The sequence below is a fragment of the Homo sapiens genome, chromosome 15, assembly GCF_000001405.40.
Source record: "Homo sapiens chromosome 15, GRCh38.p14 Primary Assembly".
Lineage (NCBI taxonomy): Eukaryota > Metazoa > Chordata > Mammalia > Primates > Hominidae > Homo > Homo sapiens.
In genome coordinates this window covers 27920144-27937646 of record NC_000015.10, presented here as the reverse complement: position 1 = coordinate 27937646, position 17503 = coordinate 27920144, and the positions used below count along the sequence as shown (strand labels likewise).

The 17503-nt window shown below is 38.2% G+C and overlaps 1 protein-coding gene across 28 annotated transcripts in view, besides 1 other annotated feature; it reads left to right on the top strand.

Moving 5' to 3' along the window:
* The window catches only part of OCA2 (OCA2 melanosomal transmembrane protein), a 380308-nt gene that overhangs the window by 161669 nt on the left and 201136 nt on the right, over nucleotides 1-17503 (top strand). For all 28 annotated transcript variants that reach the window (XM_047432619.1, XM_047432618.1, XM_047432609.1 and 25 more), the window contains one exon: nucleotides 11393-11520. In XM_047432619.1, coding sequence (XP_047288575.1) covers nucleotides 11393-11520 — 128 coding nt within the window. The remainder of the gene's footprint in view (nucleotides 1-11392; nucleotides 11521-17503) is intronic.
* Nucleotides 6653-6822: an enhancer, noted in NCBI's record as "experimental_39278 CRE fragment used in MPRA reporter constructs". NCBI's record gives its function as "activates a minimal promoter by MPRAs in K562 erythroleukemia cells, with activity observed for both the introgressed and non-introgressed 15:28176056 variant alleles {active_cell/tissue: K562}" and the evidence as "EXISTENCE:reporter gene assay evidence [ECO:0000049][PMID:34662402]".

Sequence of the window (17503 nt, the reverse complement as noted above, 5' to 3'; positions counted from 1 at the left end):
ATGAGTAAAATGCAAAATTTAACCACAACGAGATGCCATTATATGCACACCTAAATGGTTAGAAAAAAAGACTGACAGTACTGAGTGCTGAAAGATTGTGGAGCAGTAGGAAGTGTCATGCATTGCTGATAAGATTGTAAATTTGTACAATGACTTTTGAAAATGATTTGACAGCATCTACTAAAGTTTAGAACAATGTATATCTTCTGCTTAGTAATTTTGTTCACAGTGGTATGCCCAACAAAAATATGTACATTTGCACACCAAAAGACTCTCTGAAAATGCTCATAGCAGCCTATTTATAATAGCCCCAAACTGGAAACAACTCAAATATCAACCCCTAGAACGGACAAATGGTGGGAGAGTCATATAGTGGAATACTATACAGAAATAAAAAATGAACGTATTACATGACTGGATCTCACAAATGTGTTGGCCAAAAGAAAAATCTGACAGAAAAGAGTATATGCTATATGATTCCATTTATGAAGAACTCAGAAACAGGCACATTTACTCTCTGGTTGTGAAGGGCAGAGCCTGACTGGCATCCTCGGTCATGAAACCTTTTGATGTGGTCTGCACAATTCAGCCTCTGGGGCAGAGAATGTGGGGGGACGGTGAAGAGAGAGGGAGGGGAAAGTCAGCAGCGTCCCCTCCCCCGCCACTGGCCTGTCTGTATTGGTGGAAATCTTTATTTGAGGCAAAATGCTCAGAAATAGAATAATCTTTATTCTTTCCAACCTCAACTCTTTTAAATGACTCACTTGATGTAATTGAGGCATTTCCTAAGCCAGATTGGAAACCACGCAGAAGCTTCCAGGTGTTGAATGGAAGCCATTAGCTTCACTCCGAGCTTTGGTGTTGCAGCTACAGCGGGTATCTTGGGCAGTCACAGCCACTTTCTGGGTCTAGGAGGGAGAGGGCAGATCTGGAGCTCAATCTTCCTGGTTCTAAGCCTGTGTCCTGCAGCACACAGCAGGTGCCCATAAGAGCCACTGAGTGTTGGAGCTAGGCTTTAAAATTGCTGTGAGGATTGAATCAGGTAATACACACAGGCCTGAAGAGCAGTGCCTGGTGCACGATTGCATGAGATATGAACAAACAGTTCAGGCTGATGGCCAAGCAGTGCAGGAAGACACGAAGATTATAAAAAATGGTCTTTCTTTTGCTGGATTTTAAAGGGAAACTAGAAAGAATGGGAGTTTTCTCTTGAGAGAAAGCCTGTGCAGTCTACATGATAATTGAGTAAGTAGTTAGGTGCTCCCTCCTTCTGCTGCCATAGCAACTGCCTGATGCATGGTGCTATAATAGACCTTAACCCCCTGGTCACTCGGCTCCTTCTGACTTTCTAAGCCAGCTCATCCCATGTGCCCTGTCCTACTCACCCACCCAACTGTGGAGTGGGTGCTCCCCACAAGGAAGCACTGGGTTTGCACCCTGGAGGTTGAGTGCTTGGGTAAGTGAGAGAGCTAGAATTACCCAAGGAACAACCACAGTGTAGCTGTGCAACAGAAAGTCCTTGATTATTTGTGATCTTACTTGGTCTATTTCAGGCAGTTGATGGCCAGTACTCATGTAGTACTTCATGAAAGGGTGGCAGGCAGGGTGGTTTGTACTGTATATGGTATGCACAGTCCATCTGTGGGTTTTCCTGTTTGGAAGGATGAATATGAGATGAGTAACTGTTGAGATACTCTCTGGAGATGCATCCTGTGTGCCTCAAGGTACATAGGTTAGTTCATCTTAATTGATCAGGACAGTACTGCCTTTGGTCAAAGTCAGTTACACAATGTCCAGGGCAAGGAACTGTACAGTATATCTTTTATAAAAGATGACAAGGTTTCAAATAGAACAAAATTAAGTTACATTTCTCAGTATATTCATCCAATCACACTGTGACAAGAGATTTGAAATAAATAAACCAGATCTGTTCATAATTAGCAAAATCATTCCATCAGAAGCCTGAGCATATCAGAGGAATATAACGTGGCAGCATGGAAGGAAATTCTTGCAGACTGGGGATTGAATCCTGGCTTCACCCCAGCAAGCTGTGCAGCCTGGAGAAAACCAGTCCATCTTCGGGAGCCTCAGTTTCCCCCTGGGCTGGGGTGCTGAGAGATGCCCAGCAAATGCCTGTGCGGAGGAGGCTGCTGGGGGACTGGTGAAAGCCCTTTCCTACTTTCCTTTGAATCATGTTGCCCAGGGCTTTAGGAATGAGGGAAAAGAGGCTCCTTTAGCTATTTGTTCGGCATAGAAACTTGACTCTGTTGGAGACACAAATGAAAGTACAGAGCCACTTATCTCAGATTTTTTGAGTTGAGAAATGGCAAAGCTCTTGGTGAGAGATTAATGCCCACTCGAGGAAAGCGTTTGATAGAAGCTCCACAGGATAAAGACAGGTCACGTAAATGGTACTTTTTATCTGTATTCATCTCCACTCAACTGCATTTTTAATTTTTAGGAAAAGAGTCTCAATGACACATTGTTAGAATTTGTAATAGAATGTGAAGCTGGAAACTGGGATGTTTCCGTCAGTGGCTTTTGCTTCCAGTACACTGTGGAAGAACCACTGCCTCACCCTTTGTCAGTGTCCCTGAGGAGCCGGTGCTGAGCAGAGCAGCCTGGAGCATTGCTCACAGGGACCGGGGCTGCAGTGGAAAGTGTGGTCTGGACTCAGAGCAGGACCAGGCAATACCAAGCAGACGAGCTTATGCACCGGCAGCCTGATTAGTGCCGCTGGCTCTGCAGGCAGTGCGATTAAAAGTAAGAGGGAATTGAGGTTTTGCAGGGACAAGGTCTTCATTCGATTGTAGGCTATTGCAGGGAATTTTTCTAACAAGACAAATCTCCGTGACTATGGAAACTTTCTGAAGTTGGATGGATGAGTGCTATAGCAGGAGTTTTGGCTGGAGGAAAGCTCAGGCCTCCACAATTGATAAGAGAAAGCAGAACTATAAAAAGAGCCCTAAAGGACCTTCCAGCTTTTTGTCATGACTGAAATTTCTCTCAGAATCATGGAAAAGAACTTGTGTTCTTACTGACTTTTAGAGAGAGCTTCTTATTGCTATATAGCAGAGAAAACAAGGGATGCCATTTCTGGGGTCAAAAAGCTTTACCCAGGAGAAGTGAAATTGGAGCAATTATTTCTTACTGAGAATTTAAAGAAAAGATGTGGTGATCTGTGTTAGAGGAGCGGTGAAGGAATCACCATCAGATGTGATGATCAGATAAGCAAGTGTCTGTTTGTCTTCTGAACTGTGTGGTACGTGCCCTGGAGAATTCAAAGAAAAGTAACATTCTGGTTAGGAGACAAAGCTAACATAAGTAGAAATTAGGCCACTGCAGCCTCTTTGCTGAGAAATCTCATTGACTTCTCCCTGTCTAAGACTGGGGTCCCAACATTTTTGCATGATATAAAACATGGTCTGCCCTTCACATGCTAAATGACAATGTCCTTCCCAACCCCATCTTCCTTTTTAAAATGTTGCTGTTGTAGTAAGAAAAATAATATATCATATGCTTAAAAAAATATATGGTTAAAATGGCAAGGCTTGTGTGATATATATGTATATCACATAAAATTGTGTATGCATATAAAGTATGTGATATGTATATGTATATAGATATGTATATATCCATATGTGATATATACATATATGTGTTATGTATATATCAAATACATATGTGATATGTATATAACACATACAACTTGTCATTTTAACTATTTTTAATTGTACAACTCAGTGGCATTAATTACATCACTGTCAGGCCTCTGAGCACAAGGCTGCACCAGATAGCCTGAGGCAACTGAAAAGTACAAAAGAAGTGAAACAGCCAGCTCTTGTCTTAATTGATTGACCAACCTTACAACATTCCGCTATGACTTGTTCCTGCGCTGTCCCAACTGATGGATCCATCGACCTCATGACATTCTTCTTCTGGACAATGAGTCTTATGTTCTCTCCAGCATGCACGTTGTGACTCCCGCCCTGGCCTGCAAGAGAAAAACCCCCTTTAACTGTAACTTTCCACTGCTTACCCCAGTCCTATAAAACTGCCCCATCCCTAACTCCCTTCGCTGACTCTCTTTTCGAACTCAGCTCGCCTGCACCCAGGTGATTAAAAAGCTTTATTGCTCACACAAAGCCTGTTTGGTGGTCTCTTCATACGGACACGCGTGACAATCACCATTACCGTTATCTCCAAAACATTTCATTAACCCCAAGAAGAAACCCTATAATCATTAAGCAATGACTCCATTTCACCTCCCACCCTGCCCACCCCTGGTAATCTCTTAATCTACCTTCTGTCTGTTTAATGTAATCACATTTGTTTATTTCTGCTTTTTTTCACTTTTGCTGTCATAGCCTAGAAATCACTGCCAAGTCCAATATACTGAATATTTTCCTCCATGTTTTCTTTTAGGAGTTTTATAGTTTTAGACTTTATGTTTAGGTCTCTAATCGATTTTGAATTAGTTTCTGTATATGGTGTAAGATAAGGGTCCAACTTTATTCTTTTGCATGCAGATATCCAGTTTCCTCAACACCATTTGTTAAACAGACTGCGATTGAGTAGTCTTGGCATTCTCATCAAAGATCATTTGACCATAAGCATACGTGTTTATTTCGGGGCTCTATATTCTATTCCATTAGCCTGTTTTTTTTTTCTATGCCTTGTGATTTATTTTTGGTTGAACACTGAACATTTGAATATTATATTGTGGTAAATCTGGAAATCAGTTTCACTCCCTTCCCCGGGGTTATTATTATTATTTTTTATAATCGAAGGCTGTAGTAGTCTTGTTTGTTTTGTGACATTTCCAAACTATTTTTGAAAAGACTGTATTCCTTGTCATGTATGGTCACTGGAATCTCTGTTCCTTAGTGATTGCTTACTGTGTTCGGCTAGTGTTTTGACACAGATTGATTTGAATTCCAGGAGCTAAAAGCAAACAAACCACCACAACAAAAATACCTCTTCCTGTTTTATAGATTGGCTCTGTGCTAGAACCCTCCTTCAAAACTTAGCCAGGCTTGCACTGAGACTAGGCATCAGCACAAGCTGAAAGTTTTGGGAATTCTCCAGTCTTTTCTGAGCATGGGCCTTTCCCTAGGCATGCAGGTGGCTTTCCTTATCTCTGCCTGCCCCCACCGCCCCCTAGCTCTGCCCTGCCCCGCCCCATGTTTGTTTTTGAATATCTCAGTTTCACAAAGAAACTCTCCCCAGATTTTGCTCCTATTCCTCAGGTGGCGCATTACATGCTTGTCTTTTCCCCAGGCATCTGTGGTTTGGCTTGCAGTGATTTTGAACAATGCCTGCCATTTTCCTGGCCTAAGTTCTGCCTTAGGTGAAACAGATGAATGCCTTGCTTCAGTGCCTCAGCTACCCTCCAGCCAGGTTAGAACAGACATTCACAATAGTTTGTGAATAATGCTGCTCTTCTCTACCTGAACCAGGGAGCAGGGTTCACCTCCTTTGTGGAACCTTCTCTCAGTCCCCATATATTGTTATTTTTTTCTGGGTGCTCTCCAGTGGTTCACATCTACCTATAGTATTGCATTAAGTATAACGTTATTTACATACATGTGTTCTCCACTGGACGGCGAGGCCCTTGGAATTCAAAGTGGTGCCTTGCTTACATTCCCATCTGTATCCCTTAAGCTCAGAGGCAGGTACAGAGCAGGTTTCCAAAAGTGGCATACAGAACAATTTGGATTTAGGGGACATTCAGTGAGGACCAGATGAACAGGAGTGTTTCCTGATATTGTGAGACAGTGGTCTTGCAAAAGTAGACAAGTGGGTATACTTTGGAAAGCAGGAGGAACCGTAGGAGACAAAAGGGTAGTTTGGATACCTCTTCAAATTCTATACATCGTATTCAATAACTGTCATTGTTTTCCAGAAAATAATCTATATTTAAGCCCTTGAAGGTAGAGTAAGAGTAATAGAAATAATTTGAGAAAATAAGAACAGATCATTTTTGTTTTTTTTTTTAAATGCAAGGTACAGGCTGGGCGTGGTGGCTCACGCCTGTAATCCTAGCACTTTGGGAGGCTGAGGCTGGTGGATCACCTGAGGTCAGGAGTTTGAGACCAGCCTGGCCAACATGGTGAAACCCCGTCTCTGCTAAAAATACAAAAAATTAGCCAGGTGTGGTGGCAGGCACCTGTAATCCCAGCTACTCAGGAGGCTGAGGCAGGAGAATCACTTGAACCTGGGAGGCAAAGGTTGCAGTGAGCCAAGATTGTGCCACTGCACTCCAGCCTGGGCGACAAGAGCAAAACTCCATCTCAAAAAAATTAAAAAGAAAAATAAATAAATAAATAGATAAAATAAAATGCAAGGTATAGAATTGTCAAGAACTGTTTAAAAGGATACGTTATCCATCCAGGTAATTCTTATTTAAGAGATTTTTTTTTCCCCTCAAATACGTAAACAATTGAGATCTTAGTACTTTTTTTGTTTTGTTTTGTTTTTAAACTGAATAGTATTCTGTTTCTCCTAGTTGCAAGCCGGCCTGATCCACTCTGGTCTTGGAGAACTCCTTTATCTTTTGGTGGACCCTAACTGTAGTCTCTAACTCTTGAAAGTGGGAGATGGCTAGCTCTGTAGTGCTTATAATGAAAGTCACACACATAACTATCAATCAGATCCATATTTAGTTGTGAGCAGGCATATGTCAGTTTGTGCAACGTGTTTGGCTAATTTGATGATGCCCCAGTTCTTTGAACTTTTAGTGTTCTAAGCACATCTTGTCTACAGTGTTTACTGGAGACAGCAAAAAATATTCTAAGAAAATTCAGTGAACCTTAGAGTTGGAATCAGAGTGTTTAGAGATGAAGTGTCAGACCCCTGCCCTGATGAAGAGCCTGGCTCAGTCACCACACTGAGGAGCTCCTTGAGCCTCTTGATACTCGCTTACTCCTGACCTCCCAGCACCTCCATCCTCAGGCAGTCTCTGACCTGTTTTCTGTCACTGTAGATTAAGAGTTGGCAAGCTTTTCCATAAAAGAGTAGATAGAAAATACTTGAGGCTTTTTAGCCAGACACTCTCTCTCACAAATACTAAATGACTGGGTTGTGGTAAAGCAGTCATAGAAAGTATGTAAATGGGTGGCTGTGGATGTATTTCAATAAGATTATATTTATAGAAACAAGCAGGGGGTCAGATTTGACCCATGGACTATAGCTTGTCAAACCCTGCTATTTAAATTTTCTAGAACTTTATATTAAAAATGGTATATATGTATATTTGGTCTGGCTTCTTTCATTCAGCATAATTATTATGAGATTCATCCATGTGGTAGCATACATCAATAATTCATTCCTGTTATTACTGAGTAGTATTCCATGGTTTGAGTATTACACCATCTTTTTGTACACACATTCACCTGTTGATGGATATTTGAATTGTTTCCAGTTCTTGACCATCAAAACTAAGACTACAGCAAACATCGTGTTCAATTCTTTGTGTTACCTTATGCTTTAATTTCTCTTGGGTAAATACTTGAAAGTGGAATGGTGGGTTCATATTGGTAGGTGTATGGATCATGTTTTTAAAAACTGCCACGCTGTTTTCCGGAATGGTTGAACCATTTTACACTCCCACCAGCAGTGCTTGAAAGTTCCTGTTCCTTCATCTCCTTGTCAACATTTACTTTAGTCAGTGTTTTTGATTTTACACATTCTAAGGTAGATAGTGAAATGTCATTGTGGTTTTACTCCACGTTTCCCTAATGGCTAGTGATATTTGACCATCTTTTCATGTAATCATTTGTCAATCTTATGTCTTCTTTGTTGAAGTGTCTGTTTAAAATATTTCCCATTTGAATTGTGTTGTTTACTTGTTGAATTTGAGAATTAAAAATTTATATATATATATTCTAGATATTAGTCTTTTATCAGATAGATGATTTGGAAATATTTTCTCCCAGTTTGTGGCATTTCTCTACTTTAACTTAACAGTGCCCTTTGAAAAACAGGAATTCATAATTTTGATAAAGTCCAATTAATATGATTTTTTTCTTTTCATATATTATGTTTTTACTGTTATGTCTAAGAAAACCTTTAACTCAGGGTCAGAGATTTTTTCCTATATTTTCTTCCAGAAGTTTTATAGTTGTGTTTTACATTCAGACCTATAATCCATTTGTATTAAATTTCGTATATGATTAGTGAGCAGATCAAAGTAAAAGTTCTTTTGCATGTGGATATCCAACTGTTCCAGCACCATATGTGGAAAAGACTTCTCCTTCTGTATTAAACCACCATTGAATCTTTGCAAAAAAATCAATTGACCATAAATATATGGGTATATTTTTGGATTCTCCATTGATCAATTTATTTTGATGCAATATCACATTGTTTTTATTGTTGTTGCTTTATAATAAATCTTGAGGTGAGATAAAGTATATTCTCAAACCTTGTTCTTTTTTATTTTTTTATAAAAGTTGCATTGGTTATTCTAGTCCTTTGCATTCTTATGTGAATTTTAGAATCAGTTTGTTAATTTCTACACAAAAGAGTGCTGGGATTTATACAAAACATTCTTAGGAAAAATGAAAGAAGACATAAATAATTGGAGCTATATATTGTGTTTATAGATCAGAAGCCCCTATATTGTTAAAATGTTAATTTTCCCCAAATTAATTCGTACATACCTCTCTGCTTCAAAGGAGTCCACCCTGTAGTCCCTGATATTAATGGCCATATATGTTATATTACATAGCCAAGGAACTTTGCAGGTGGATTTAGGTTATAAACCTCCATAAAGGGAGATTTTTCTGGATTATCCAGGTAGATCCAATGTAATCATAAGGGCCCTTAAAAATAAAGTGAAAGATAGAAGAGCCAGTTAGAGAGCTGTGACAGAAGAAGAGGCAGGAGAGATTTGAAGTGTGAGAGGGACATTGCTGACTTTGAAGATGGAGGAATGGAGGCATGAGGCTGGGAATGTGGGTGCCTCTGGAAGCTCAGCACAGCTTTTGGGTGACAGCCAGTAAGGAAACAGGGGCCTCAGTCTTACAGCTGCAGGGAACTGGATTATGTCAACACCTGAATGAGCAGAGAAACAAATCCTCCCCTAGAGCCTCCAGACAGGAACGCAGCCCTGCCAACACTGTGGCTGTGACTTCATGAGACTCTAAGCAGACATCCTGCTGTGAACCAGCATCCTCTGACCTATGAAAATCATGATATAATTGAAAACTAGTACACCTTTTTATATCTATAGCATCTATAGTCATGCCACTGATCTTCTTCTTGATACTGGAAATTTTGTTTTCTCACTTGCTCTATTCAGATTGGCTAAAAGTTGACTGATCTTACTGAGCTTTTGAAAGAAGCCAGTTTTGGTATCATTGCTTTTCTCTAACATTTTTTCCATTTTCTATTTCATTGATTTCTACTCCAGTCTTTATTATTTCTTTTCTTCTACTTATTTTGGGTTTCATTTGCTCTAACCAGTAAGGAAAAATATAACCAGAACAATTAAACAAAAACTTTATGAAAGAAGATATATGGATGTCAAGTAAGTAAAAGATGCTCAGTGTTGGCTGGGCATGGTGGCTCATGCCTGTAATTCCAGCGCTTTGGGAAGTCAAGGTGGGTGGATCACTTGAGGTCAGGAGTTCGTGACCAGCCTGGCCAACATGGTGAAACCCCATCTCTACTGAAAATACAAAAATTAGCTGGGCATGGTGGTGCACACTTGTAATCCCAGCTACTCGGGAGGCTGAGGCAGGAACATCACTTGAATCTGAGAGATGGAGGTTGCAGTGAGCTGAGATTGCACCACTGCACTCCAGCCTGGGCCACAGAGTAAGACTCCATCTCAAAAAAAAAAAAAAAAAAAAAAAAAGATGCTCAAAGTCATTAGTCATGAGAAAAATGCAATTGGAAACCACAGTAAGATCCCACTACACAACCATTGGAATGTCTAAAATCAGAAAGGCTGATCAAATGTTGGTGAAGATGTGGAAGAACTGGAATTCTCATCCACTGCTGGTGGGATTGTAAAATGATAAAATTATTTTGGAAAATAGTTTTGCAGTTTCCTAAAGCATAAATGTTGCATATAACATTGCATAGTATTAAGCTATCATATATCCAACCATCTCATTCCTAGGTATTTAGCCAAGAGAACTGAAAGCATGTGTACATACAAAAACTTGTATATGAATGTTCATAGCATGTTTATTTGAAATAGCCAGACACTGGAAACAATCCATGTGTCCATCAATAGGTGAATGGTATGTACATTGTAATATAGCCACACACTAGCATACTACTACACATTAAAAAAGATGAACTACTGACTCACACACCAACAGCGAAGGATCTTTTTTTTGTTTTTGAGATGGAGTTTGGCTCTCATTGCCCAGGCTGGAGTGCAATGGCGTGATCTCGGCTCACCACAACCTCTGCCTCCCAGGTTCAAGCAATTCTCCTGCCTCAGCCTCCCAAGTAGCTGGGATTACAGGCATGTGCTACCACATCCAGCTAATTTTGTATTTTTAGTAGAGACGGGGTTTCTCCATGTTGGTCAGGATGGTCTCGAACTCCTGACCTCAGGTGATCTGCCTGCCTGGGCCTGCCAAAGTGCTGGGATTACAGGCGTGAGCCATCGGGCCCGGCCAACAGTGAAGGATCTTAACATGATTATGCTGAATATTAATTTTTTTGTCTGGATGATCTGTCTATTGAGAAACAGTCAGACAAAAAATACAACAGGTGGGGCATGGTGGCTTATGCCTGTAATCCCAGCAGTTTGGGAGTCTGAGGTGGGCGGATCACTTGAGGGCAAGAGTGTGAGACCAGCCTGGTCAACATAGTGAAACCTCATCTCTACTAAAAATAGAAAAAGTTAACTGGGTGTGGTGGTGCATGACTGTAATCCCAGCTACTTGGGAAGCTGAGGCTCCCCAGCTTGAGCCTGGGAGGTGGAGGTTGCAGTGAGCTGAACTGCAGCCCAGCCTGGGTGACAGAGCAAAACTGTGTCTCAAAAAGGCCCCCAAAACAACAACAACAAAAAACTATGGTGCAATTTACAGAAAACCTGCATTTATAGAAAATTTAAGCCAATCTATAGTGAAAGAAAAGAGATGAATGGTTTACTGGGAGTGTGGGGGTTGACAAGAGGAGCTAGAGGAGGTACAAGAACATAGGCATGAATAAACTTGTGGGTCAATGGGCATGTTCATTATCTTGATTACAGTGTTGGTTTCATGAGTATACACATAACCAAATAGAAATTATATGCATTTTACATATATGCGGTTTGTAGTATGACAATTATTCTTGATAAAGAAAAAGGCAACCAGAGGTTAAAGAAATGAATCGGTGTGTTAACAGTGGAACTATATCTCTATGTCTATTTACTTATTTTCAGGATGGATTGCTATTCTGGGTGCCATCTGGTTGCTAATTTTAGCTGATATTCATGATTTTGAGATAATTCTACACAGAGTGGAATGGGCAACCCTTCTGTTTTTTGCAGCGCTCTTTGTTCTGATGGAGGTAAGATTTTAGAACTTTTGCCATATGGCATTTTACCTGATTTTTGTATTTCATGTTTTATTTGGTGAATGAAGAAAGCCTACATCTATTAATCTTTCCTTATATTCTCTAAGTGGAAAACAATGAAGGTTGTAATTGGACTATTTTAAGTTAACCAGCTTTACCTTAGCCACTGAGAGATTTCTGACAGCACTGCGTATTTGTTTTTTTTCTTGAATTATCTTTGTGGTTTGTAAACTCATTCTAATTTCATTTTCTATAAAATATAATTTACTATAAGTTGAGTTTGGAGCTAAATTACTTATAACAGCAAGTTTAGGAGGTAGTGTGACCTTGATGATCTGTTTCATTTTGTGTGATATTTGAGTAACATTTCCGTTATCACGGAAAAGACTACATCAGTAATATGTATTGTTTCCATTACAATTGTTGTTACAAAATTACTCACAAAATCTTGAGACTTCATTTATAAATTTGTGTCCTCCTCAAACAGAAAGGTTTACTAACACAGAAAGATACTACTCCTCAAACCATGCCCCCAGCACCACTTCTTTGCATTTCTTCAATTTAACATGTAACGTGCTTTCATTTTCATTAAGCTAGAAATATTTTCTAATTTTCCATATAATTTCTTTTTTTGACTTATGGGTTATTTCAAAGTATGTTTTGAAGGCTCCAAATATTTGTGGATTGCCCATGTTTCTTTATGTTTTTGACTTTTAATTTAATTCAGTTGTGGTCACAGGACATACATTGCACAATTGCAGTCCTTTTAATTTTATTAAGACTTGTTTTACGGTCTAGCATTTGATCTGTCTTGGAGAATATTCTACTTGTGATGTGTATTCTGCTGCTGTTTTGTGGAGCATTCTATCAGTGTTAGATTTGTCTTGCTTGTTAACAGTTCTGTTTGTCTCTTGCACATTATTAGTGATATTCTGTGAAACTGTTCTATCAGTTATTGAGAGTGGGGTATTGCAGTCTTCAACTATTTTGTTGGATTGGGTATTTTTCCTTTCAAGTATGTCAGCTTTTGCTTCATGTATCTTGAGGATCGGTTGTTAAGTGTATATACTTTTATAATTATTACATCATCCAAATGAATTGAACTTTATCATTACTAAATGTCTCTTTTTCTCTGGTAATGTTTTTGTCTTAGGGTCTATTTGCCTGATACTGGTATAGCCACTTCAGCCCACTTTTGTTTACTGTTTGCATGACTTATCATTTTAAAAATGATAAAATCTAGCCTGACAATTTCTACATTTTAATTGAAATATTCAATCCACCCCCATTTAATACTTATTCATACGCTTGGCTTCACGTCTGCTACTTTGCTATTTTCACTATATCTCATATCTTTTTTCCTCTCTTTATCTTTTACTGCTTTCTTACTGTGTTAAATTACATTTTATTGTATACTAATTCTCTTCTTTGTTTCTATTTTTAAAACTGTGTTTTTGAGTTATTTTATTATTGATTGCTCTAAGGGTTAAACTGTACATCTTAGTTTAATATGATCTGTGCTGGATTAATACTAACTTATCTCGTGGAAAATACAGACATTGTGTTCCAGTAGAGCTCCATTTGTCCTCCCTTGTTTGTGCTTTGATGGTCACGTATGTTGTACTTCTACGTTATATGCCTAACATATATAATAGTTTTATCATTTCAATTATTTTGTGCAATGTATTTTATATTAAGAGAAAAAAGAAAAATGATAAAAAAAAGACATACAATTGACCCTTGAACAACATGGATTTGAACTGCATGGGTCTACTTATATGGAGATCTTTTTCAATAAATGTATGGGAATTTTTTTTGGAGATTTGTGATAATTTGAAAAAACACAGATGAACTGCATAGCTTAGAAATATTGAAAAAAATTAAGTCAAAGTTAGGTATGTCACATAGACCAATGGAACAGAACAGAGAGCCCAGAAATAAGGCTGTACACCTATGACCATCTGATCTTCGACAAAGCTGACCAAAACAAGCAGTGGGGCAGGCAGTCTCTACTCAATAAATGGTGCTGGGAGAACTGGCTACCCACATGCAGAAGATTGAAATCGGACCCCTTCCTTATACCATATACAAAAATCAACTCAAGTTGGATTAAAGACTTAAACGTAAACCCCAAACTATAAAACCCTGGAAGACAATCTAGGCAATACCATTCTGCACATAGGCACGGGAAAAGATTTTATGACAAAGGTGCCAAAAGCAATTGCAACAAAAACAAAAATTGACAAATGGGATCTATTAAACTAAAGAGCTTCTGCACAGCAAAAGGAACTATCAACAGAGTAAACAATCTACAGAATGGGAAAAAAATTTAGCAAATTATGCATCTCTGACAAAGGTCTAATAGGAACCAAAGTCTATAAGGAACTTAAACAAATTTACAAGAAAAAGAAACCAAACAGCTGCACTAAAAAGTGAGCAAAGGACATGAATGCTTTCAAAAGAAGACATACACGCAGCCAATAAGTGTATGATAAAAGCTCAATATCACCTATCATTAGAAAAATGTATATCAAAACTACAATGCAATGCCATCTCACACCAGTCATATAGCTATTATTAAAGAGTCAACAAATAACACATGCTAATGAAGTTGCAGAGAAAAGAGATCACTTATACACTGCTGGCAGGAGTGTAAATTAGTTCAACCATTGTAGAAAGCAGTGTGGTGATTCCTTAAAGAGCTAAAGAGCTAAAAAACTGAATTGCCATTTGACTCAGGAAATCCCATTACTGGGTATATATAAAAAAAGAATATAAATTCTTGTACTGTAAAGACATATGCACATGTGTGTTCATTGCAGCATTATTCACCATAGCAAAGATATGGAATTGATCTAAATGTCCTTCAGTGGTAGACTGGATAAAGAAAAGTGGATAAAGTGGTAGACTGGATAAAGTAAAGTATATGTATAAACATATACACCATGGAACACTATGCAGCCATTAAAAAGAATGAGGTAATATCTTTTGCAGAAACATGGATGGAGCCAGAGGCCATTACCTTTAGCAAACTAACACAGGAACAGAAAACCAAATACCACATGTTTTCACTTATAAGTGGGAGCTGAATGATGAGAACACATGGACACAAAGAGGGGAACAACACACACTGGGGCCTACTGGAGGATGAAAGGTGGGAGGAGGGAGAGGATCAGGAAAAATAAGTAATGGGTGCTAGGCTTAATACCTGGGTGACAAAATAATCTGTACAACAAACTCCTGTGACATGAGTCTACCTATATAATAAACCTGCACATGTACCCCTGGACTTAAAAGTTAAAAAAATTGTCCTTTGAACCAGTTATTAAAAAAAAAATGATGGTGGGTTGTGAGTGGCCAGGGGCCAAAATAAGCACATGGGAGAAACAAACACAGAAACACACACACACACACACACACACACACACACACACACACACCCCAAACAAAAAACCACAAAAGCTATGTCATGAATGCATAAAATTTTTGTAGATACTAGTCTATCTTATTTACTCCTATAAAATATACACAAATCTATTATAAAAAGTTAAAATGTATCAAAGCTTACACAAACACAGACAGTACATGGTACCATTCACAGCCAAGGGAAATGTAAACAAATGTAAAGATGCAGGATTCAATCATAACTGTGTAAAGTTAACTGTGGTACATACTGTGCTACTGTAATAATTTCACAGCCACCTCCTGTTGCCATTGCAGTGAGTGAGGATCTACTTAAGATGCTATATGGTGCTGATCATCTCCATGAGTGGTTAATCCCTTCAGTAAATTGCCTATTGCAGTAAAAAGTGATCTCTCAATTCCCATGTATTTCTTGGTTTACTGCAATGCTTAAACCGTGGATGACACATGGGACCCATAGCAAGTGCCATTAGTGATGCTGGAAGTGCTCTAAAGAAGCAGAGAAAGGTCGTAACATTACAGGAGAAAGTTGGATTGCTTGATATGTACCATAGATTGCGGTCTGCAGCTGCAGTTGCCTACTATTTCTGACAGATGATTCACCTTGTAAACAGACGATGTAAACTTATGGTATCGATAAACACAGTACAGTACTGTAAATGTAGTTTTTGTTTCTTATGATTGTCTTAATAACATTTTCTTTTCTGTAGCTTACTTTATTGTAAGAATACAGTGTATAAGACATATAACATACAAAATACATGTTTCAGGAGTTTGAGACCAGCCTGGGTAACATAGTGAGACTTCATCTCTATAAAAATATTAAAAAATTAGCTGGCATGGTGGTGCATGCCTGTAGTCCCAGCTACTCAGGAGGCTGATGTGGGAGGAGCACTATGCTCCTGGGAGGTTGAGACTGCAGTGAGCCACGATTGTGCCACTGCACACCAGCCTGGATGACAGAGCAAGACCATGTATCAAAACAAAAGAAAATGAAATATGTGTTAATTGACTGTTTATGTTATTGGTAAGGCTCCCAGTCAATAGTAGGCTGTTAGTAGTTAAGATCTGGGGGAGTCAAAATTTATACACGGATTTTCGACTTTGTAGGGGGCTGGTGCCCCTAAAACCCACAATGTTTGAGGGTCAGTTTGTGTGTGTGTGTGTGTGTTTGTGTGTATCTTTCCTACAATTCTTTACTTCTTTGTATGGATTTAAGTTGCCACATGATGTCAGCCTGAAGAATTTCCTTTAGTAGATCTTGTAAAGCAAATCTTTTGGAAACAAATTCTCTCTTTGTTTATGTGTGAATGCCTTTATTTTGTCTTTTTAAAATACAGTTTTGTTTCACTTATATAGAATCCCTGATAGTTTTTTTTTCTTTCACCAGTCCAAATCTGTCATTCTGACTTCGGGTCTCCATTGCTTCTTATGAGAAATTAGCTGTTAATCATTGTTTCCCCTATATGCGCATTGAGTCATTTTTCTGTTACTGCTTTTGAGGCTTTACTTTGTCTTTCAATAGTGTGACTATTATGCATCTAGGTGTGGATCTTTTTGTGTTTCTCCTACTTACGTGTATGTTTTTTGAAAGTTTTAACTTTTAAGATCTTTAGATTAATTTTGAAATTAATTTTGGGTATTTGGATAGTTTTTGGTTACTATTTTTCACATATATTATTCTCTCTTTTTTTAAAAAAAATTATTCTCTTCCTTTTCTGGGATTCCTATTACAGACATGTTGGTTTGCTTGATTGCGTCCCATAGGTTTTGACACTTTATTCATTTTTCTTCATTCTTTTTTCTTCTATGTTCTTCAGATTGAGTAATTTCTATTGATCTATTTTAATTTTTGATGAGTAATTTTTATGTCATCTCAATTTTATGTCATCTCAAATATTATATTGAGTCCCTCATGTAAGTGAATTTTTTATTTCACTTGTATTGTTCAATTCCAGAATTTCTATTCTGTTGTCTTAAAAATAATTTTTATTTCCTTGTGATATTCTCTACTTAATGCATCATTGTTATCATTTTTCAATTTTTAAAGCATGATTCTTTAATTCTCTAAACATATTTAAAATTCTGCTTTGAAGTCTTTCCTAACTTCAGCATCCAGGCTCCCCTCACAGATAGTTTCTATTGGCAGTTTTTACCCCAGAGCAGGGGTCACACTTTCCTTTATTTTTTGCATATCTTATAATTTTTGTAAAAAATTAGAAATTTTAGATAATGTATTTTAGCAACTGTAGATGCTGATTTATCTCCCTGAATTTGTTATTGATTTCATTTATATGAAATCATAATAAAATGTCCTTCTTTGACCCTAAAAACAATTTTTGTCTTAAGGTCAGTTTTGTCTGATGTTAGCATAGTTACTCCAGCTCTTTTTTTGTTGTTGTTGTTACTATTTGTGTGGTCTACCTTTTTCCATCTTTTTCCTTTCAATCTATTTGGGTCTTTTAATCTAATGTGACAGCAGTAAGCTCTTGTAGACAGCATACAGTTGAATCACATTTAAAAAATCTATTTAGCCCATATCTGCCCTTTAATT